Source organism: Homo sapiens, chromosome 5 (assembly GCF_000001405.40).
Source record: "Homo sapiens chromosome 5, GRCh38.p14 Primary Assembly".
Taxonomy (NCBI): domain Eukaryota; kingdom Metazoa; phylum Chordata; class Mammalia; order Primates; family Hominidae; genus Homo; species Homo sapiens.
This window is the reverse complement of record NC_000005.10, coordinates 3,604,202-3,628,961: the sequence shown is the minus strand read 5'-3', so window position 1 is coordinate 3,628,961 and position 24,760 is coordinate 3,604,202. Positions and strand designations below refer to the sequence as shown.

Genomic DNA, 24,760 nt, shown 5'->3' with positions numbered 1-24,760 from the left:
CTCACATTCCCGGAGGCTGGGGGCGGCTCTCAGGTCCAGGCCCCGGTAGTGTCTGGTGAGGGCCGCTTGCTGGTTCATGGACCACACCTCAGGCCGCAGTCTCACCTGGCTCTACCCTAATGGCCGTGTCACCTCCCAAAGATGCTACCTCCTAAACCATCGCTTATATTATTTCAGCAGAGGAATTTGGGGGGAGACACAAACATTCCATGAATAATAATCAGTTATTACTCATATGATTGTAGCATGGCTTGAGCAGGTAATTTCAGTAAAGGGCTGATTTTTCTCCCATTTGTGAAATGGATACTTCATGCTCTTCTTTGTAAACCACAGTGAAAAGTTTATGTGTTTTGTTTTGTTTTGTTTTATGGCAAGAAGCAGCCGTCAACGGAAGCTCATAATCACAGCAATAAAGTGATATGGTTTACACTTTTAAAAGCCTTCCCTGGCTGCCTTCCCCATCCAGTAAAAGTTCGGTGGCTTTTCCAATTATCCAGGTAAGAGAAGGTGGTGGGTTGGGCCAGGGCAGTGGTTGCAGAAATGGTCAGGAGTGGTGGATTCAAGAGAGACCCCGGAGGTGGCGCACACAGGACTTGCTGATGGACAGGCCAGGGAATGAGAGGAGAAGAATGAGGAATGGCCCCAGGTCTTCAGTCTGAGCACCTGGAAGCAGAGGTCCTGTTCATTTGAAGAGTAGGAGGGGTGTGGGACAGGCTTGTGGTGGAGGTCAGGACACCTTTGGCCTAGAGGGCCCTTGGACGCCCTGCGTGGAGCCCTGCACAGGGCAGCTGGCAAGGCCAGTGTCTGGCTCTGGAGCCATCTGAACGTGGATGCTGCTCAGAGTCACCTAGGGGATGAGTCACCCGGGAGAGAGTAAGGAGCGGTGAGAAGGTGAACCTTGCACCCTACAGAATTAGAGGGCAGGAGGAGCCAGGAGAGGCAGCTGGAGGTAGATGGCCAGTGAGCGGGAAGGACAGCTAGGGTGTAGGCAAGCCCAGAAGCCACATCTAAATCATGCTTTCCCGCTACGGGGCCAGAGAGGCCAAGTGTGCCAGATGCGATGGAGAAGCTGAGTCAGGAGAAGAGGCGCCACACACCGTCGGATCTGCAGAAATGAAGGTCTCGGTGAGCATGGCGGCTGCAGGTCCAGGTCCGGCGGACAGGCCAGGAGTGCAGCACCCGAAAGGGAGTGGAGGAGAGGTGGAGAGATGAGACCTTGGGGGCCTGGATAACTTTCCAGAGATAGTTTTAATGAAGAGTCCATTGAAAGGGGACACAGGATCATGACAGGGGCGTTGCTGTGCTGGTTTGTTTTAGAGGAGAGATACTAGAATGGGTAAAAATGATCCCAGAGAGAGAAATACATAAATAAACCTGAGAAAGCAGAAAAGAAAGGCTGCACAGAACAAAGCCAAGTCTTAGGGGATAGAAGGGCATAAGACCCGCCGCAGGAAGGCAGGGTCCTGACTTAGCACAGAGACACTTCCTCTGCTGTGATATTAACAGGAGCAGGTCAGGAATATGGGCTGGCTCTTGTCTGGCTCTGGTGGTCAGCTGGGCATGAGGAGCTTGCAGCCTTCGAGAGGGAGGGGAAGAGGAAAGTGGTTATATTGATAAGAGAGGGAATCCGGGAGGCACTAACACAGTGGACCATCCTTCAGTCTCAGCAATGCCACCACTAGCTGGCCATGGTTTTGAAGGTTCCAGGAGGAGCTGAGTCCTAAGTGTGTCCTTTCTTACTCTGCATATGTCTGTAGGGAGGACGGCTAGATTCCCAGGTGTAGGTGGGTGCCTAGTAGGTTTGAGCCTTGTTGAGCATTCCGAAGATGTTTACCCAGCCTCATCAAATCTCAGAGATGGAAGGGGACGGTCAGCAGACACCGTGGTCAGTGCCTCCCTCATCCTCTCTGGCTGTCCCCACCCAGCCCTGCTCCAGTGACACTCACCGCTTCCTGTAGGCAAAGCCCTCGGACCATCCCAGAATCTAACGTAAGATGCTACCATCCCTGGCTTCCATGACAAATTCAACATGGAATGGGATCTAGTCTGGGTCACTGGGACCCAAGAAAAGAACTGCTGTGAGGCTTGTGGGAAAGGTTCTCTTGCATCTAAGAAACAAAGAGGTCAGGACTCTCTTCCTTGAAGGTGAGATCACAGGCATATGGTCCCTGGAACTAATGAGTCTTCCTGTGACCTTGATGTGTTCTTGAGGGGACACATGTCTCCTCCCACCTGGAGAAAGATGGCACATCCGAACTCTGGCAGCCGCATGGAGATGTTCACCAGGCCAGGACACTCCTGCCTTAGAGGACGGCCTCGTGGGAGGGTGAATGCAGACAGCATTTCAGAGATTCCAGACTGGCATCTCCTTACTGTAGCACAGGACACACTGATGGCTGGGGTCACTGCTCAGAACTTGTTCTCATCTCATTGTACATATTGTAAGAGTCCTTCTTGTAAAGTATATGCATTGGTGTTTGCCAGGATACAGATCATGGCATAAATTCAGTTGGTCACAACCAGCTGTAACATTAGAATGGAAGGCCAGGCATGGCGGCCCACACCTCTAATCCCAACACTTTGGGAAGCCAAGGCAGGTAGATCACTTGAGCCCAGGAGTTGGAGACCAGCCTGGGGAACATGACGAAACCCATCTCCACAAAAAATACAAAAATTAGCTGGACATGATGGTGCACACCTGTAGTCCCAGCTACTTGAGAGGCTGAGGTGGAAGGGTCAGTTGAGCCTGGGAGGTTGAGACTGCAGTGAGCTCATGATCACACCACTGCACTCCAGCCTGGGTGAGAGAGCGAGACCCTGTTTCAAACAAAAAAAAGGAAAACAAGATAAAAAATAACAAAACAAAGTGTGTTGCACGTGTACCCGCAAGCATATTTTTCTGAAGTCTTTCCTTGCCTGTAAATCTGCACGTATATGAACATATATGTACAAGTGCACTGAAAATATTTTTGTTTCTGTGCTATAGGTTAGTCTGTTTTATACTTCTGGAAAAGGAAAAACAAGTTTGAAGTCATCTTACTCAACGATATCTATGATTTTGACTCAATCGTTGACTCCATGAGAGATTGAGTGGCTTACCCCAGACTGCCTGGCTTACTAGATTCAGAAACCACAACTCACTGTGGGGCCCACCCCCAACACCAACGCATTTCCTATTGTACCATGCAGCTAATTGTGTTGGTGTTATTGCTAGGTGTAAAATAGTCACAAGTGCTAACAATTAGAAGAATCTTACAATGATAGACTTCCAGAATGAGTTACATGAGGGAGATATAAACGTTATAAATTAGTACATGAAATTTGGAAAAACAGAAATTATAATTATCCTCAAGTATGGCCTTCTAATGTGACTAGAAATGGTGTGGTTTCTACCCTGTGCATTTATGGCAAAGCCCCAGGACAGACTGTCCTGTCACCAAGCCATCATGACGGTTTTCCTGCTATTAACAGGCATGCTGGTGCTCCTGCGTGAAGTGAACAGACACCTGTTCTATGACAGGAGAGGAAAGATGCTTGATATGGTTTGGCTGTGTCCTCGCCCAAATCTCAACTTGACTTGTAGCTCCCACAATTCCCAATTCCCATGTGTCATGGGAGGAGCCCAGTGGGAGCTGATTGACTCATGGAGGTCGGTCTTTCCCATGCTGTTCTTGTGATAGTGAATGAGTCTCATGAGATCTGATGGTGCTAAAAACGGGAGTTTCCCTGCACAAGCTCTCTCTCTGCCTGCTGTCATACACGTACGACGTGACTTACTCCTCCTTGCCCTCCGCCATGATCGGGAGGCCTCTCCAGCCACGTGAACTGTGGGTCCAATTAAACCTCTTTCTTTTGTAAATTGCCCTGTCTCGGGCATGTCTTTATCAGCAGTGTGAAAACGGATTAATACAGTGCTCTCTCACTGTCCAGTGATTTTGAACCTTTTATTCTTTTGCTAAAGATCGTTTTAAAAATTCAGTTAATAGCCAAAGTTTTTATTTTTGTAAGTTTATTTTTTACAAACAGGAATGCCATCAGGGAGGCTTTATCTGAGTTGTGAGCCTGATGGCTAGAGTCGGGGGTTTGGGAACAGTAAGGACCTGGCCATTGTTACTGTGTCTCCTATAGGTGAACGTAAAGGTGTTTGAAATGGTGCATCACCCACAAGACAGGCATTTGGAGGGTTCAAGGGTGTTGACTGTCAGGACACACATTGTACGGGCTGAGTGTGTTTATATGAGATGGCTTTTCATTGCTAAGTGGCACTTGGAATATGGAGTTCTTTATTTTTACTTTCCACAATCTCATAAGGATTGCTATCCATCTAGCACCGTTTGCAAATATGCATCTCTACGTGGTGTGAAAGAGCTACTATAAGTGATCTCTGCCTGTTCATTCTATGTCTACCTTCATTGGCTGAAATGTGCACACACACAAGAATTACATCTGATTTTAAAGGACATTCTGGGATAAACCCAGATCTCAAAAAACTGGTGTAATTAATTTTATAACTTGAAGTAAAAATTATTCCGAAACTATTTGAACTATTACTGTTTTATTACAAAGCTTTTCTGTCTCATTTAGTAATGTCAAAAACTCATTCAAGTATAAAGAAGAAACACCAATCAGCACTATCACACCATTTAATAGGAAAAACACAATATGTTTGTAAACTTCTCTTTAGGTTTGTTTCAGTGTATTCATGTGGATAGAGATATGGTAATACATAAAAAACTATATATTGTTTTCAGAATTAAGATCAAGTCATAAATATAGTCAGTTTCCATATTTTGTCACTTAGCAATGCAACATAAACATGTTCACATTGTTAAATTTTGGGGAAATTTGCTTTTTAATGCCTGCATATTTTTCCTTTGAGTGCTTGGATCAAAATCCATTTAAGGAATTCTCTCCTCTGAGACTTTTAGGTTGGTTTTCATGTTTCACTTTCATAAATAACTTGATGATGGCAGATCTTCCCCTGAAACCCGAGAATTATTTCATACTCTTTTCTTCTCTCCTTACGTTTTCTTGTAATTCTTATTCTTCCCTCACTTCCTTTTTTTTAAAAAATATACATATATATGTATATATATGTATACACACACACACACAGAGATAAGAAATTCCTTGGGACTACTCTTGGGTTGAAAATCAAAATTAGTGCCATTTTCCTGGGGCAATGCCATACAAGCAGAGCCAGAGTGGAAGCTGAGGTCTGGAGGCAGCCTCAAAGCTGGAATCCTTCAGGGATGTTCGGGAGACCTGTTTCTCTCAATGGATCTAAAGAAGTCAGTCACTTTGAGATAACACAGCTGGCCTTTCAGGCCCTATCGGCTTCCCCAGGTTTGGAGGGATGAAGCTCGAATTTTGTGGACTCTTACGACCACAGATGCCACAGAAGGGATCTCAGGGGCTCTTTTCCCTCTGGAAAGTATCTCGGGGTCTCCTTTCCCTCTGGAAAGTTTCTCGGGGTCTCCTTTCCCTCTGGAAAGTTGAGCATTTCAGCTCAATCCTATTACCTACCTGGTCATGATTGCCAATCTGTCCTATTAAAGAATCATTTAGTCAGTTTGTTTTTAAAGCAATCTCTCAAATTCAGTATTTTTTACTGAAATGAAAACATAAAAAATAGAGTATTTCTCAAGGAGCCCACCGTTTGGTCTATTGTGAAGAAGGCCCAGCGGGTGCAGTGAGTTTTGTCTAGCCAGCACATAAGATTCATAACTAGTGGCTCAATCCATGGTCCGTGGCACTGTGCACACATAGATGGAGAAGATTGCACCTTTTCCATGACGTGGGCCTGAGATTGCTTCACCTGGGTGTGTGAGAAACAATACCTGGCACCTTTCCATTTCAGAAGTGCCGGCGGTGCTCACCAGAGCCTGCTCCCGTGGGCTCATTTCCCTGAACCGCATGCTTGAGGGTGCACCGTGGGATCATCTAACTCTGTAGATGCCATGAAGTCCAAGTGCAGATGAACATATTCCCATAACCAAGGAGCCCATGTATTCCGGGTCCTGATTGCAAATAAAGGGGGTACCGGTGAGCTTCCTGAAGCACACAGAGGTGCCTGGACTGCCGTTCCCTTGACCCCAGACACACCACAGCTGGTTCATGGGAAAGCTTCCTCCTACAGCACCTCGTGGAAAGGTGAGCTTGCTTGTTTTCTGAATGTTTTGGACTGAATTTGTCCTTTCTTGCTTCCTTTTCTGATTGGCTGTTGATTGTAGACATCTTTCTCACCTTTCAGTCATTGCAATGTAGTGCTTTCCATTTCAGAAAGCAAGGGTAGGTCCTAGGACCATCAGCCCAGGTGTGAAATGAGATTTTATCCCTGTATGTTGTAACAGTTTAGGGAAAAGAAGGCCTTTCCAGCTGGCTTTCTAAGGAGGGAAAGGAATTCTATCTGCCTCTGCCTTTTCAGAAACACAGATGATGTTATGCAAAGTTCCTGACCATGGCAATAACTAAACAGAAGTGAATGGCAATCACCAGGCCCGAAGAGCTGGTCAGCATGAGCCGGCCAGGCTTCTGAGCTCTGAGTGCCAGCCCCTCTTCCTAGGCACTGGGATGATCCTGGTAGGTGTAGGTGAAGTCTTCCTGTGCAGCTACCTCCTGAACTAGGGGAGAAAACATAGCATTGGCCCCTGTGCATTGAGGTGTCACCCTTGCTGCCTAACTCACTCTGTCTGTACTCCCAACTCTTTGATTTTCTTCTTCCTAAATATTCTTCAAGTGATATAAAAACTCAAAGGGATTGTCCTCAGATGCCTGACAGTTTACCCTTTTACAAACCAGAGCTGGTTTTAATTCACATTGAGATGCATATGGTGGCCAACATGCTCTCTACAGAGGGGCTGCAAGGACCCCTTGGCTATGCCCGCTGGAGACACTGAGTGTGGGCCACTGATCAGAAGACCTAATTCATGAAATTCAAATGTAAGGTTCCTATTCTTTTTGACTGCTGACATCTGGCCATCTGGGAGCATTCAGATATTAAGCTTCCTTTACTTGAGGTGAATGTCTTGTGTAAGCTGCAGCAGGAGTGGTGTCTTTCTCCCAGCTCAGTATCTTTCACCAGAAACACAAGCACAGGACAGTCAGCCCATTCAGAAGTCCAAACAACACTCTGTTGAACCAGAAAGAGAGCACTGGCTCCCAGATGGGTAAACTGAGGCCCAGATGTGATGGTAACCAAGGTCACACAGTGAGTGTGTAGAGGAAAACAGGGCCAGGTCTTGCATCTGAGAGTGTCCTGATTAAATTGATTATCAAATTATAATATCAAAGGTTAAAATAAAATTTGGATGAGTGATCTCTAGATATGAATATGACACTTCATGAGAAAAAAGAAGTACTGGGGAATTAACAAAAGAGGGAGATAACAGTGGTGGAAAGATGCCCATTGGAGCGGCTGGAGTCCTCAGCTCTGCCTTTCAGCCTTCCAGCCTTCCAGCCTCAGGCACTGGCACAATGTCAGGATCTGCTCTTCAGTAAAACGGAGTTCACTCACAGGCCTCCGCTGATGCATGACCCCCAGAGTTGCAACTCATCTGATCCCCACTCCTCCTGTGCCTAGAGGAAAATTGTGCTCAGCCCTGGGATTGCATGTCCCCTCCCTATGACACTTCTTGAAGAAAGGCAAGAGGTCCTCTATGTCCACTCTGCAGATAGGAAGACAGAGGCCTAGAGACACTGTGACCTGAAGAAGATGCTGTCGCATGCATGCTGGGCCTGGGGCTGGAACCCTGGCCTTTCTCCATCCACAGCCATGAAGGAAGGAGCATGCACATGCGGCGCTACCCAGCTTCTCTGCTCTGGCTCTGCTGACATTGGGGCTGGATAATTCTCTGCTGCAGAAAGGGGAGGGTGTCCCATGCATTACAAGATGCAAAGCAGTGTCCCCGGACTCTATCCACTAAATGCCAGCCGCACTCACTGTCAACACCCATCGATGTCTCCAGATATTTGGAAATGTCCTCAGGGCAGGGAGAAAACCACTCCACTAACGGAGAGAGCGGAGGGGAAAGCAATTTATCACCAACGTGTGTGCAAAAAAATTCATGGTCACTATCAATGACAGAGGCCCACCCCAAGTCCAAATTATTGTTTGCTAGGAAACTATTGAGGCTCCTCCAGAAATGTCCCCTAAGATACAGGCTGTGCAATTTAGACCCAAGACAAACTGTTGTCAAGCTGGCCTCCCTTCCCTTACTCTGTCACCTGGAAGCCACCACCCCAGCTTAAGCTCTTGTCCCACTTCATTCTCATGGGGCCACGTGGCCTGGCCACCTGCCCTCCCACCGTGGCTTTCCTGCCGCCCTCGCTGTGAGCCCCCTGAAGCCAGGGGCCCCCCTGGTGTCTCTGCACAGCCCCAGGACAAAGCAGAAATTGGTCCTGCTTCGATATACAGCATTGAGCCAGTGCTTTCTCTCAACCAATTCCAAAGGACATCAGTTCTTGTGAACTCCTCAGTGGTAAATTAGGCAAAACTTTGATTGAAAAGAAAATGTGAGCAAAGGAGTTGACCCCAGAGAGCCTTGAGAAGGAGGGAAGACTTGGAAAGGCAGCTTTCACCTTCCAACACGGTGGGCAGCTGTTCCAGTCCTGTGCTTCAGAAAGCCTGCCTCGTGACCTGTAGCAGGCAGGCTGTGGTGGACTTGGTGCAGCGGGAGGCCTCTCTGGTGTGCCTGGGTTCACAGATGGCTGGCGGATCACCAGAGGCTGGAGGGGGTGCTGGGTGCAGGGCCTCTTTCCTCTGTCTCTTCTGGACTGAGCTGAGAGTCTGTGCCATGGAGAAATGGCCTCCGAGGCTTAAGTTCCTTTATCCACTGACACTTCCTCTGGCTTTCAGAAAACTGGCAGTAGGTGGACACTCTTGCCCTCTTTGATGGCAGTGATTAGACAGGTACAAATGATCACACATGAGCTTCGTTATCTCCTTTCCTTCCCCTGCTCAGAGACAGTTGGACACCACAAAACTTCATTGTATGAATCACAGCGTGGCTGCCACAGGGGCTGGGCAGCTCTCTGAAAGGCCAGGTCCCTGCAGGGCTGGGGGAGGGTTGTGGAAGCTGCCTCCGCCCTAGTTTTTTTTGGCCTTTACTTCCCACTTCACTCAAGATCCTCTTCAGTTCCTATCCAGGAAACAGGATGTCAGCATACGTTCATTTCAACTTGGTGGCATTTCTGTTTGATTCATACCACAGTTGCAAGGAAAGCTGGAGTGACCAACTCTTTCCAATGATTCATTCCAGTGGTAATAGTAAGGGGACAAAACAATTGAGGATCCTGTGGAATCTGGAGGTCTCACGTTCCCCACACACTAAACTTCCTTATCGGAGATGATCCCAAGGATCGGATCTAAATACCATCTCCCTGCAGCCACTCTGGGCTGATGCCAGCTGCGGGTGACTGAAGGACTGTGCTGTCCTCGGGGGTCATGGGCTGGCCCCCCAGCTTGTTCTTCTCATCTTCTTTCAGCTTCCAGTGCCCACCAACTGTCACAAGGGGAGTTGGTCCTCCAAGCTAGAGAGACAACAGCCTTGGAGACATAAACTTGGCTTAACGTGGAACATTCCTTCTCTGATAGGGACACTCAACTCTGGAGTGCACTGATACCTGGAAGCCTCACAGTGAAGCAGCAAGGACATTCCTGAGACTGAGAAGCCCTCACTGCTGAGCACCTGTCATGTGCAGTGATGGGCCGGTGTGCTTCCAGCCTGCAGAATGAGGGGACAGCTGGGAGACAGAGGCACAGAAAAAATAACACAAAAAGACACATTCTTGGAAAGTCCTGCAGAAACTTTGGAGGAAATATTGGGTTTTATACTGTGGTTTACAATTATTTGCCCTGGACAAGAGCAGGAGCTGGTATCAGGGAGGCTTAGAGACCCAGAGCTTGGGTCCTTTCTGTATTCCCGGGTGAGAGTTATTTGGTTTGTCACTGATATATGCTTCATTGTCATAAACGACATTTTTCATCATGAGCTTATACATTTTTAAACATCATCCTTATGGTCAAAGAGACATGCATGTTAAAAAGTCAACAAATAATTGTCATGGTAGAACCATTTGTCTGCCTCCAAATAAAATTACTTGAGTATAGTTATATGATTTTCATATCACTTCCATTTATGGGAAAGATCAGCTATCTATCTGAATTAGGGAATGTCTTATTTTATATTTGCTAGGGTGCATTCTTAAAAATAAACTCGTAAGACTTTAATATTTATTCATGTTCCGTTATGAGAACACACATCTTGGACACATCACGAAAGATGAGACAGAAATAAATAGTTGTACTCATTTCGTAGTGACCTGCATTTATCATCAGATGTAAAAATCAGAACATGAAATTTTGGTAGAAAGATAAAAGTCGGACCACATGCCGAACGATATTGGTGGCAGATGTGATTGTCAGAGGAGCGATGGCATTTCCTCTGAATGGGAGGGTATGTTCCTCCAACTTGGATGCTAGCATGATGAGCAATGAAAGTGTGCTTTGTTCCCTAGCCTTCACATGCTCTCCATACTGGCAGTTATCATTTACTGGTATTTTTGAAATCAAACACTATCCCATCCCCCGGATGGACGCTGCCTCAGTGCCGCTTTTGAGCTGGGCCATACAGTCAGCTGTTCATAAATATCCAGCTCCATGAGCTAAAAATAAGTGCCACAGGCCAAATGCTTTGCCTTTTGACTTAATGCAACTCTATACCTACCCACACAAACATTCCCATACATACACATACACCCCTGGCTTTCTCTGTGGGTGCCTCGGGTGCTCAGCCCAAGGACGTGTTCTCTTAGCATCAACGCCCCTCAGATAGCTCTCCAACCCCCAGACACCCATTAATTGACTGCAAATGCAACTTTATTGCAAAATGACTGCAGCTTTATTAAGCAACTGGATTTACAGGCAATAACATAATCAATATAACATTAATATAGCACATAATTAAATAAGATTCCTACAAGGTCCTGCCTGGATCCTGAAATATAGAGAAGTTAATTGTTTTCATGGATGGCATTAACTAGAGGGATCTGAAACCAAAGTTGGAAGAACACAGTTCCCAGTGGTTCTTTTTTCTGGTCCAGCATATTCCATCTGATAAAAATAGGATATGATCCCCCAACCCACAGGCATGCAGTATCACCAGTAACTCCCTCAAGACCCCCTCTCTCCCAGCCCCTGGGGGACAGCAGTCACTCAGCCGACTAATGATCTCATGATGAACTGAGGGGTGAAAGGCAAATAGCAAATTGTGTTTAACTTGTTTCCCACCAACAGAAACAGGACAACCCACCACGGGCTCTTGGAAAGTGACCACAGAATGCACCATGTCTGTCGGAAAATGGAAGAGCTCAGTCCTCCTGGAATGAAGTCAGCCAGCACTGTCTCTAAAGTCATGAGCTCAGATTTCAAATTCAGGGAAATCCGTGTAGAATGTTCTTGCAAAGGGCCAGGTAAGGAAAATACTGCGAGAAGGAAGCCCGTTCAGTGGGAACATGGCACATGTTTGCAGCCTAGAGAGTATTTGAAAGACAAACATTGCACACAAGGAAGAGTCCTAAGGGAGGAAGTCACTGTCTCATTAACTCCACCCAGTCCGGCCTCGTAACCACGCTTTGCCCCACGGAGCTTCCTACCTGTGCCCTCCATAATTTCAGGAACTTAGACACTAGCTGCTCACATGTTCCATTACCCTTCATTACCACCTACCACTGCCAAAATTAAGTGTTTAATTTAAATAAAGAACTAAAGTTGATGTAGCTCTTGAACACAGGGTGTACAAAACCATCCTTAAGCCACTTGGCATCATATGCAACTCAGTGAGATGAGGAAACAGAGGCATCACCATTAGCAACGCTTTACACAGATTCCATTTTGTATATGATGCTGGCTGGGTAACTTGCAGAAAGACCTCTACCCTTAAGAGGGTCCCAGTCTTAGAAAGAAAGCAATGCAATCGGGCACAGGGCCTCAGTTGCAAAGAGAAGACTTTGAATGCACTTAGGTATGGAGCCCAATATTGATCCAGAATCAAGGCAATTGCTATTCATCAAGTGAATTTCAACAGGTCCTTGTAAAATCCCTCTGAATGAGAAAGTCTTAGAGTCCAGACAATACAGGAAAACAAAGCTGTTCATGTGCAAAGGGTCCAAAGACTGAGTTCAGGGTCCGGGCAGTGGTGATGGTTGACAGCATCATGACCACAACCAGTGTGGCCAGGCCAGGAGATGCTGGGAGACTCGGAGTGGGAGGAGACACACACGCAGCCACTCTGGCCCAACTTCAAGGTCAATGAGGACCACCTGCTGGGGCATGTGTGAGTTCTTAGGGATGGAGTCAGGGAATGAAGGCTGAGCTCAGGAAAATGGAAGCAGGCAGATCTGTGGAACCTGGCGTGAATGTGCCAAGCCCTGGAGACCAGAAGGCCAATGCTGAGGCCCTGTCCGCTCATATCTCCCAGATGCCCTCTGCCCCCCCTTTACTGGCCACCTTTCTCAGGTGGCCTGAAGACCTTGGGAATGTGCTGACATGGAGTCACTTCCTCACACATGCTGTCACATGTTCACACTGGCCACAGGTGGCCCTGACTAGCATATTCCTTCTTCTCTCCATTCGTAGACAGATTTGTGGGTACTTAGCAACTTCACTCAGCCTTATGGGGTTCATTTTCCTACCAGTAAAATGAGCTGTGTGTACCCTGCAGGGTCCGTGAGGTTATAGCAATGAGACAAAGACATTTGGGATAGGAGACTTTCCCTCGGTAAACACATGAGGTTCACAGGCCTCAGTCATCCGCGCTGGTGTCTACTTGAATCAAGTTAGCAACGCTGATCCTTGTCTCTCCCCATGCCCTTCCCACACCACCTCCAACACCCACACACCTCACACATGCGCAGACATTACGTGCACATGTCACTTACCATTCAGAAGCATCGTTAGATCCCTCACATCATAGACAAAACCCGACCACAATCACGAGGGTGGATGTCATATCCATGGCGATTGCACCTTCAGTCTCCAGAGCGATCTGGGGCAGCCATGCCTCCTCCTTTTCTACGTGAGCCTTTCTGCCCCTCGCTGCTCCCACAGAGCCTTGTCACCAGAAGGACACTCTCAGAGATGCCCTTCCTGGGGTGTGGGGAGCCTCAGAAACTTTGGGGAGAGACACAAAGAGATAGATGCAAACCACTGAAAGACACTGGCTCCTCTGCTTTTTGCCTCTCGGCTGCTGAGTGCCTTTTCTTCCCCAAACCCTGACTCACTCACCTTTGCTTTCTCTTTTGTGTGGCTCCCCAAAGGGCACCTGGGTTGTGTATGTAAATCAGGCTGGAGCTGGACAGCTGTTCCTCTGGGTTTGCATCAGAACATCAAGGACAAGTTCTGGGGGACAGTGTTGGTGGCATCCCAGGTCCTGTCCTCAAGGATGTAGGACACACTGCAGGGTTAGCATAGCAACACTAGGGAACGAAAAGGCTAGAAACTTACCTGGGTAAACAGAAACACACACACACAAGCAATTTTGATGATGAAGACCTAAAGAATGCAAAAAGGCTGCTTCTATCATGAATTCACAGCCTCTGAGAATCAGAAGAAACCGGAAGCTGTCAAAAAGTCCAAATCATCCCAGTGGAAAAATGCCCTCCACAACACCATAGCAAATGCTTTCCATCTTCTGGAATGACTCCTCCTTGGGTCATTTCTGGAAACTCCTAACACCTTCCCTCTGAGCCTCTCTCGTTAGAACACTCTTCCTTAGATGAGCTGATTTCTTCCTGGACTTCTCTCCACAGCAGTACTCCTTCCAGCCTCTTAGTAAAAGAGGAAAAATCTGCTAACTCCTCATGAGACGACCCTAAAACAGCCAATGGTGTCATCTTAGCCTTCTCCTTCCCATGCTGAGCAGACACACTATCCCAAACCATCAGCAGCAAACACTCAGCCCTTCTCCTGCATTAGGAGCCCTGATGAGACATAAGTCACAAAACCAGAAAAAGGTGGGGGAACCTGAACATGAGACCCAGAATTAAAGTAAATCAAGATGGTCCTCAGGTACTACAGGAAATCCCACTCATAAAGAACTTTGAAAAATGTAATGAATATGCATGTCTGGCCTGTGCACATGATGTAGGGGTTTCATCTGTGTTTGCTTCTGAGTCACCGAGAGAGGAGGCATCAAAGGCATGAATATGAAGAAGCAGGTGCATCTGCCTATAAAGAATGACCTAGGCCAGCGTGGCGGCTCATGCCTGTCATCTCAGCACTTTGGGAGGCCAAGGCGTGAGAGTCGCTGCAGTCCAGGAGTTTGAGACAAGCCTGGGCAACATAGTGAGACCCCATGTCTGTAAGAAAAAATTTTAAAATGAGCTGTGTATGGTGGTGTGCACCAGCTACTCAGGAAGCTGAAGCAGGAAGATCACTTGAGATTGTAGTGAGCTAAGATTGTGCCACTGCACTGCAGCCTGGGTGACAGTGAGACCCCGTCTCAGAAAAAAAAAAGAAAGAAAACAGAAAGCAAAAGAAGCTATGTGGTCATCGTTGTGAGTTGACATTTAATTCTAAAGATCCAGCAAATACCATCACTAGCCCCTGAAAATCCTGTTAAATAAAGTGTATGCATCTCCAGGGAAGTCAGAACAAACAACATATTTCTTCTCTCTCTCTTGTGTACAGAGGAGAAAGGAAATCGGCATTCATGGATAGCCTAAAATTTGCTCAGCATCTTACTTGAGAGGAATTATAAGTATCATATTATTTTAAATGTGCATTTCTAGAAGAGGTTAAAATCTCAGTGGTCCAACTACACAAATAAAGAAGCCAAGAGAAAGGCAGGACCAAGGCCCTGGATGGCACCGTGGTCTGATGCAAAGCCTGGGCTGTTTTCTCGAGGCTCCCGAGCCTGAGCCCTGTAGGTAGAGCATCCTGTGAGGCCCACTGGACTTTCAGTCCTGAAGGCCGAGGGCATCCCATTTACCCACCCATGGAGGCAGAAGATGGCTCAGCCCTTGCCGGTGGGGGTACACAGGGCCCTGGCTGCTCTCCCAGTGTGGGAGTGTCCCCCGCAAGGGCTCACTGTGACACTCAGAGGAACACAGGAAATGTGTGCATTGGCAGCCCTCTGCATGCCACGGCAGTGTGGGTCTCCTCTTCCATCCCGTACACACCGGGCGGGGGGTGGCAATACAGGAGTAACCAGGATCTTCACTGTCAATGGAAGGGAGAACTGGAGAACCAGGAAGATGGAACCAACTGCAAGTTCTGAGAACCGTGGACACCTGTTTTACATAGAACTCAGATGTCTGTGGCAATGGAGAAACAAGCGCTTTTCTCCTACAAAAAGAAGGTTGCTAACGATACGCCGGCCTGTTTTATTCTGGTGTGAAAAGACATCATTAAGAAAAGAAATAGTATTGCCTATTGATGAGAGAAAATTGAGAAAATTGCAGCCCAATTTTAAAAGGAAAATATTGCAACAGATCAGCCCCATCCCTAGGCGTTAGTGAAGCAATGGCAGGGGCTGAGGGCCACAGAGGGCCATCAGGGAGCAAGGCACACAGAGGCTCCCATGGCAGGGGAGCTCCCACAGCCCTTCAAGGCTCAGAAAGACAGCCACACCGTCACACACCAGGCAGGCATGGCAAGAGCCCCTCCTCCTCCCATGCCATTGGGCCAGGGGCAGGGGGTTATATTCAGAGGCAATAGACCTCGAGCTTCCGAGGTGACTTCTGTGTCCCAGTCCCACAAGCCTTAAAATTACATGAATAGTAACTCCAGCCTCACCAGATCCATTACTCCGTGTCAACTACAAAGAATGCCTGGCACCCCACAATTGTTCCTTAAGGTTCAGGAATTTTAATGATCCTAAGTCAGGACTAAGATACGTTCTCCTCTATCTGCCTGCGTACATGTGTTGACACCCGTGGGAAGTCATTTTAAAGACATCTCTTCAGGGCTGGGAGATAGGCTTTAACTTTCTAAAATATGAACTGCTTTTACATAACACATGCCACAGCACTGATTTTTGACTCATTGAAATTAAAATGTCATCGGTAAAACTCATCCACGAGCGGAAATTCCAGAGAACTTGCCTGTATCTGAGCCCTTCAGGAGGTGGAAGGCAGGGAATGAGAACAAGGGCTCACTCTCATTCCTACCTAAGAGTCACAAGTCATGACCTGCACTGATGAGCTCTGGACTCTCCCTCCAACAGTAACATCTTCCTACCATGGATAAGGCATTTCTGCAACTTTGATACTCCCTAGCACTTAGCAGCCAAGAGGCTGGAGTCAGTATGCAATGTGAGGGACGAGGAGGTTATGCAACTCTGGGAAGTTACACCCTTCTACTTCCAAAAGGGAAAAGAGATTGCAGAGTGATTGTTAAAGCCCCAGAGGAATTCTTCCACATCAAAAGCTATCCAGAATGAACAGTTGACTCTGGTAATTGTAAATATATCCAAAACATGTGCATTGAATTCAGCCCCTTAAAATTATGGATGGGTGTACCCAATTGCACAGTGTTTGAACACCTCGAACTTTCCAAAAATATTTGGGGTTCAAAGTAAGCTTCTCAAAAAAAATCAAAGCCATATGTTTCTTTTTCATTTATACTCACCTTATCAAAATGTTTGCTTTTAACAGATATTTGATGCCCAAAATGTTTGGAGGGCCTTTCTTTTTCTTTTTTTTGAGACAGAGTCTTGCTCTCTCACCCAGGCTGGAATGTAGTTGTGTGATCTTGGCTCTCTGCAACCTCCATATAAACATGGCATCTTATAAAATAACAAAATAGTATTTAAATATAGGCATAAGTTACAACATGGAAAGTCAGAAAACCATGGAGAGAGTTTAGATGTTTTGAGGTCAGGGGATCGAGACCAACCTGGCAAACATGGCGAAACCCTGTCTCTACTAAAAATACATGGTCCTGACCACATCTATGTATTTCCTTACATTTCTCTTGATTTGATTAGAAGAGTCTTTTTTTTTTTTTTTTTTTTTTTTTTTGAGATGGAGTCTCCCTCTGTCACCCAGGCTGGAGTGCAGTGGGGCTATCTGGGCTCACTGCAACCTGTACCTCCCAGGTTCAAGGGATTCTCCTGCCTCAACCTCCCAAGTAGCTGGAATTACTGGCATGCACCACCATGCCCTGCTAATTTTTATATTTTTAGTAGAGACGAGGTTTCACCATGTTGCCCAGGCTGATCTCAAAAACGTCCGCCTCGGCTCAAGTGATATGCCTGCCTTGGCCTCCCAAAGTGCTGAGATTACAGGCGTGAGCCCTTGTGCCCAGCCACCTTTCTTAACAAAGTCAAAAAAAATCTTCCTTCTTAGAAGTATTGCCCAAGATAAAATGAACATCAGTCCATGTAAATTAGGCTGGTTTCAAACTTGGCTAAGAAACTCTTTTCTATCTTTATTTTTCTACGTGGGTGACAGAGGGAGGAAAAATGAAGAGGAAAGCAAGTGTCTTGGGTGTGGTGATCTTTTTGCTTTTTTTCCCTGGAAAGGTCTCCTGGGTTTTGTGTTCCTTGTCCTACCTTGGAGGCCACCTGGGGTCAGCACTCAGGTCTCATTCACAACACTGTACTCAACAACATTTTGTTATTCCCCAGTATTTTATTATTACAATTATTTTATTATTCCTTTCACTGGGGGCTTCCTTCAATGTGGACTTTCTATCAAGGGTCCGCAGCCTCGTTCACCAAATGAGAGACTCTCACTCACGGCATCCATTTCATTACGTCTTGGACAACTGCCATCTACTTTTGGAATTAGCAACTGCATGAATAGTAAAAAGGAAAATGTGCATGAGTAAAGGTTAATTATGTCACAAATAATCAGCGGCCCTCCATTGCAGAGAAGACCCTTGGAATGAACTGTCCCTAGAATACAGAGCCCAAAATGCCACCGCTGCTGCTGGCTGACAAATGAATCTGCCATGCATTTCGGTTCCAGCTATAAGTTGGGGATCAGGCAACATTTCATTATCCCCTTTTTAACTGCTGGGAATTGATAAATGGCCCTGACGTCCATGGACACAGTAGGACATCAGCGAAGATCTGTTGTCGCCGTGGGTTCTGCACAACCAGAATGTGTTCACAGTGACCAGGCCCCTCCCCCAGGAGCTGGCCAGGGGAGCACTGCAGAGAGCTCCCAGAGGTCCCCTCCCTTGGTGAGCAGAAGCAATGCTCACCATTAAAGATTAATTTGTTTGGCTCTGCAATAAGTTAAAACCTTCCCATCCCAGTTCAAGTGTTAATAAACCAGGGCGGGTGACACTGGACTCTTTTAGTGGGGTCTTCTCTAGCAAGAAGTCATTTAACGCAGCTTAGGGTCGAAGCCTAGGCTACACCTTCAGCTTCAGAATGATCCTGATTTAAAATGCACATTCCTGGGCCCACTCCACTCCTGCTGAAACAGGAATTCAGGAGGGGGTGGCTGAGGAATATGCATTTGTAACAAGCTTCTCTAAGAGTCTTCTCCCGAGGGTGAGAGGTATCTGGGAGGAGGATAAAGAGAGAGTAGATTACACAGAGGGAGAAACCCAGTTCTAGGCCTCCTCCCCAACATCCCCATCCTGAGAGCTAGCGTGCTCTCTCTCTCTCTCACACACACACCACACACACACGAACACACACTTGGACAACTCTTGAGCCCACGATGCTGGAGGACCCTCCGTCTGAATGCCATGTGGGAGTGACCACTGGGGCTTCCCCTGCCTTCTTGGCAAGGTTTCCTCATGCCTCTCCTTCTGGGAGCCCTTGCCTACCTGTAGGCTCTGGCAGCTCACGTTTACTGGTAATACGGCAAGTTATAGAATTTTAATAGGGAACCACTAGAATTCTTCCACCAATACATCTCTGCACATCCTTGCTACTGGCGCAAAAATGCCAAATGTGTCTTTAGGAGCATTTAAAGTCAGAGAAAAAACAAATATAAAATAAAATAAAACCATCAGAGCAATATGTTCTTGTGTATACTAAACCTATTTATTTTCCTTCACAATTCCATATGCTTCGCTATTATTGTTACACTGATCTTTAGTTTTATTCCATATGCTTCACTATTATTGTTACACTGATCTTTAGTTTTCTTTTTTTCACAAACAAGATGTTATCTGAAATTAAATTTACAAACCCCATCCCAACACCGTGCTGAGCAAGGAAAGCAGACAGCTGACCACAGGAGAGTTCAAAAGAGAAGGACAAGGAGAATGATAAAAACTCCTGGATGAAAAAGAACAAACAAAGGAATACAGGAGCAAAATGTCCACCCTCGGGATGTGATCCATCCACACGGAAGCACCAACAACGACCTGTCCAGTGCTGGGAAGAGAACACAGAAGTAACACATTCTAATTCAGGGACTAAGATTGAAAAAAAAAAATCCTGTAAGTGTTCAAAGCTGGAGGTGCAATTCACAACCTAATCAGAATTCAGGAACTGGGCAAGTGGCGTGATGCAAGAGCAAAGAGACGGAAGGAAGGAAGCCTTTGGCATGTATTTCTGTCTTAGCCCAGGGAGCAATGAGGGGAAACCAGGGTCTGACGGGGAAATATGTGGCACACACACGCCACCCTCGAAGAGTCCACAAGGCCGGCCGCCGAGCATCCACCTGTGTTCCCTCTGGGGTGGCCGGGAGGCACGCTGGAGACAGGCCCTCGTCTGCTGAAGCTTGCAGAGGTCTCGATGCCGGGGGTGGGTGTCGGGGAAATCAGCCACTCTGCTGGGGTGTATTTATCGTGAGTAATCTTTCAGCCAGAAACCAACTGAGACTCTGGCCCTGTGCTTTTCATGGAGAGGTTTCCTTTACAGGCAATACAAAAATACATGGGTTTCTTATCAAATAAGAGCTGTGAGAAAAGGGAAAGGAAGGAAAAAAGTCTTACCAGAATCTCGAACCTGCCCTGGACATCCTCCTTTGAAGCCCCATGTTTTCAATGATGCCTCCTGAATCTACATGGATGCTAATATGTTTGCATTGCTGGGTTTCATTTTATTTTTTTACAATTCACTGCAGGACAGCAAAGTCAAAAATACACTATTCTGATCAACAGGACACATCTGTGGTGAATCCACACAGAAGCAATTAATTTCCTGGTGGTATTTTTACACTGGGGGCCTAATGCAGGCCCCCATTATACAAACAAAAACTCCAGACAGCTCCTGCTGCCTGATAAAAAATAAATCAGATTGCAGAGGGCTGTGTGGCCTAGGACCGCTACAGGCTATGACTTGTAATGAGGCATCCCAACACTAATTATGAAGCTTATTAAAAAGAATTGTCGAACTTGTACTAAAGTGCACGCTGTAATCACGTTAAAGAAGGCAGGCCTCAGAACAAGCAGCCTGCAGTCACCTTGCTCAGCAGAGTGGGCCGTGCAGGCGTAGCCAGGGCGTGGATCAAATCACAGGAACAGTCTTATTGTGTTTGGCAAATTGGTCACCATAAATTCGATAGAAGAGCAGGTGAGAATCACAACAGCTTGGTGAGGACTCACACATCAGAGTCTCCCCCACTCACTAACACCTGGAAGGGAAGGGTCCGGGACACCATCAGGTACACACATCGCCAACGCAGTATTTTATTATTAAGCTTATTCTGAATCTTCTCTAAGGTTGCAAAAGCAATATTTCAATGTACTCTTTCAGGAGGGAAGGAGAAAAAAGATTAATAAAGATGTTAGGAAGCTGAACTGCTGTGAGATTTGTTTAATTATTCCCCACAGGACTGCCCCCGCAATCTGCTGACATTTAACCCCAACCTTGCAAATCCTCAGTAAATATTAATATATCAACTCAAACAGGGACCGTTGTTTTATTGGTTCACGGAGCTCGGAGAGATTCGCCACAGCAGTGAAAAATAATGTGCACAACTGAGGAGGACCGGCTTCTTTGATTTCACCTTCTGCTGCGCACATGAGCTGGGAGCATCAACAAAATGGAAATGCTGTTACTTTGCACAGCTGTAGAGTGACACTTCAGATGCCTTCGCTTCCCTTTGTACAGCCTGCTGGAATAATCCCAAAACCACAGTGGCAAGAGATTAGAAAGGAGGCAGAAGGGGAGACAGAGAGAGGAGAAATCACACTTTATTATCTGGAAGAGTGGAAATTTTAATAATGCAGAAGACCCACCCTCCAATCTGATCAGCTTTGCCAGAACAGCGGGCCCAGGATGGGGGTCAGGAAGGGAAAAGCGGACTCCAGCCCCTCCTCTCGTATCAGCCCTGCCTGCCCTCCCTGACCCAGGGCCACATATCCCACGTGCATATCTGAGAATGGAAATGGCCTGCTTTGGTTGAGAGTTTGCTAAAAGAAAAAAAAATTTTAAAAATTACTGGTTGCTTTTTAATGTTGCCATGTGTTTGTGTGTTAAGGAGGGCAGGGGGAGAGGGAGGTGGAGGCATTTTTGGAGGGTTTTTCTTTTGAGGGGGTAGCTCAAACTTAGATATCGCTTATTGACTTATCTTCTCATAAATACTCTGAAATTCCTAATGGTTGAATGCTTGCTGTGGGCCAGGGAAGGCTCCAAATTCTTAGGTGTAAGAAAGGGGGCTTCGGGTCCACATTTGGCTTTCAGATGTACTGTGCTGCAGAGTTTAATGCGTGATTAATTTTATTCATAAAAATGTTAATCACTGCATTGTGAGATCTTTTTAACATTCACTGCAGAGAGCACCTTTTTTAATTTCTCTTGCCCACCATCTCACAGATGTATTTAATATTTTCAGTCATTTCTGCAGCTATCCAAGGCTCTGGCAATTAAGCATATGTTTAAAATTCAGTAACAAGCAAAGATACAGCAGCGACAAACAGCAAACAGGAGAAGACAGAGAAACACACACACACACACCACACACACACACACACACACACCAAGAATGAAAGTGACCAGCTGGGGAATCCTGCAGGCTGTCACCCCGCTATCAGGGCGTCCGCAGCCTGGGTGACCTTCCAGAGCGCCGCGCTCACAGGTAGATCATAAACACGCACGCAGAAACCGAGCTGGCTTCTTCCCTCATCGAAAGGGCTGTTTCAAAGGGGAATCGGAATTTAAAATAAAAGCCCTTCAATTTGGAAGATTTCACCGACCTTGGCGTCATTCCCACCATTGCGTTCTGCCTGAGGGCGTGGGACCCGTGGAGGGTGGGTCGTGGCTCAGCGTCTCGGGTGGGGCGGGAGGAGGGTGGCGCTAGCTGAGTGCCCGGTCTCCCTCCACCCCCGCCACCTCCTGCCGTTGTGTCCCCGCACCAGCCATTGCGCTCGGGACTCTGGATAAATGGATTAGGGGATCAGAGACACCCGCTGCGTCTTCAGAAGCCCAACAGCAGCCGCGGAGAGGGCGGCCACTTATGCCCCGCCCGAGGGGAAGGAGGGGCGCTGACTGCTCGGCCTCTTCCCCGGGTCGGCCTGACCCCCCTCACTGCCCAGAAAGGGCCAGGGCCGGCCTTTCCTCGCGGAGGGGCGCCGGGTTCAGGCGGGGAGCTGGGACGGCGCGGACGCGAGCTGACTCCGACTCCGCGTGGTCACCATTCAGGCCCACAGCCTGGGATCCTGCGGCGCGGCCGAGCCTTCTCTAGGTCCCAGCTGCCTGGCTTGCCATGTCTTGCCACCCAGGGCGCAGCTCCATCCCTTGCTCCCTCCCGGGTTCAAGGCCGCCCTTTCTCTGCCTCCTCATTTAGAGCAATCCTAACATTTTAGGTCGCTCCTGAAGCCTCCTCAGTCCCAGGCCACGTGGTGACTTCCGTGGGCCTAAGGCAGACTCCTTCTTCGTGAGAAACTTATTAAAAATTTTGTTTTACCACTCCATTGGTATGAAGATGAATATATTGATAGACATTAACACATTTTCTTCGACCCAAAAATTACCGGGTATTTTTATACGAAAAAAATTAAACCATTTTCCTGGGCCCCTCAAAATACTCGGGGCCCCCAGGCCCAGGGCTCGCAGTGCTGAAGTCACCGGGCCGGGACCGCCTTGGCATCTGGCCCCGTCCGCGCTCGCCCTAAGAGGTCCATTTTCAGACGTCATTCTGGGGCGAGGGAAGGGGATCCGCGTCCAGCCGCCAGTCACCGGGTACAAAAGGCGGCCAGCAGCCCCCGTGGGATGACCTTGGCAGGCCTCTCAGCTCAGGAGTCATAATTGGAGTCGCTGGCTTTGTGGGGAGTGCCGGAGAAGACCTGGAAAGCATGGCCTCTCCCTGGAGCCGCTCCTATTGCTCTGGGGTTGTCCATGCGCCAGGGTCGGCGGCCAAGTCACAGAAAAAGTCTCCGGGTGGGAGAGGCGGCTGGGTGCCCTGAGTGGGGAGCTCTCCTTCCACACATCTACGCATTCCCCACGCTCGCTGGCTCAAGGGACACCTAAAGGTGGGTGGGCTTCTTAATTCCCCCAGAATGCGCCCCCTCCACTGTTTGCCCTGTCTCCCGGCCCCCAACTTGGACTTACGGCCCCAGGGCCACCCCACATTCCCTCCCCACCTGGTGCCACATGCTGACTTCGGGGCCAGTGAGATGGCAGGGCCCTCTGTGGGGACAGAGAAGTCACCAGGCATTGGGAGCACGCTCAGTGTGTGGCTCCCCAAAGCCTCCCTTTCCTTTCTGGAGGGCTCAGAGCCTGGCTGACTCCTATGGCAGTGCTGGGTCCTGTGGTGTGGCCCGCGTTGCAGAGGCAGTGGCCACTGACCACTGGAGGTTCCTCTGGCCTTGCAAGTTCTTTCCACAAGGGCACCACGAAGCTCCGCTCCTCCGTGGGGCCAATGCTCCCCCAGCCTTGCAGGCGACCCTCCCCAGGCTCTGCTACCTTCCCTTTTTTTTTGACCTCCAACTTGCAGTCCCCACCAACAAACAGGGCCCTGTCATTTTGAGAAGTGCATTCAGTGGTCCACTCTTCCCAAGTCGAAGTCCACAAACCCCATCTCCACTTGGAATCCCCAACCCCACCCTAGACCTTGCCTCTGTGAGAGGAGGCACCAGCGACCCACTGGCATCATGGTTGGGTTGGGCAGGGGAGGGTGGAATTAGGATTCCCCTCTCAGGCAAGAGATTCAAAAGCAGAGAGGACAGGGCCTGCCTGAATCCTCCATGTTGAAAAGCCAAAGGCCAGTGCCTGTCCCAGGTACCCCTGGGTGCTGTGACCCACCGTGTCCTCTCTCCTTTCTGCCTCCCTCCCTCACTCCAGCTTCCTTGCTCTCTGGCAGAGTCCCATCTACAAGGACGACTGAAACTTTATAGGGCATGATTCATCGGTGGCGCACCCCTTGGAGCCGAGGCGCGTATTACATTAATCAGTGTCAGACCACTAAAACCAAGATATGAATATGAATTCCCCATATTGCAGGCGAGATAAATGTGCTGGTGAATGAAATTGATCAGAGGGCGGTGGGCAGGATGGTGGGAGCAGGGAGATTTCAGAGACTCCAGCTCAACCTTTGGGCTGGGGCTGCCAGGGCTGTAACACAGAACGCGGGAGCCCGGGACCAGATTTGTGTCTTGTTCCCCCCCCCACACACACACACCCCTCCAGAAAAAGCCCAGTATAACCAGAAAAGGGAACTTTTCTATAGGAAACCCATTTCTGATGACAAGAAATGTCTGGAAATTGGTCCTGTGGACAATCTCCCCTTAGTCTGTTCAGGGACTGTCTCCTCCCTGCTGGCCACAGAGCAGCTGCCACCTCTGAAACCATCCTGGGCACTGCTGAGGTAGGGAAGCCCCTTTCCTCAGGCAGAAAGCTCCTCCAGA

At 47.9% G+C, this 24,760-nt stretch overlaps 1 long non-coding RNA gene across 1 annotated transcript, besides 1 other annotated feature; it reads right to left on the bottom strand.

Annotated features, from left to right (window-relative positions):
* Positions 938 to 1,438: an enhancer, noted in NCBI's record as "H3K4me1 hESC enhancer chr5:3627638-3628138 (GRCh37/hg19 assembly coordinates)". NCBI's record gives its function as "activates a minimal SCP1, AML or CMV promoter by ChIP-STARR-seq in primed H9 embryonic stem cells {active_cell/tissue: H9 hESC(primed)}" and the evidence as "EXISTENCE:reporter gene assay evidence [ECO:0000049][PMID:30033119]".
* On the bottom strand, positions 10,879 to 23,402 carry LOC107986399 (uncharacterized). The gene is made up of 2 exons (XR_001742554.2): positions 12,940 to 23,402; positions 10,879 to 11,532 (listed from the first exon to the last, which is right to left on the bottom strand). It is a non-coding gene; the product is annotated as an uncharacterized LOC107986399 (long non-coding RNA).
* Positions 23,403 to 24,760: the final 1,358 nt, after the last annotated feature.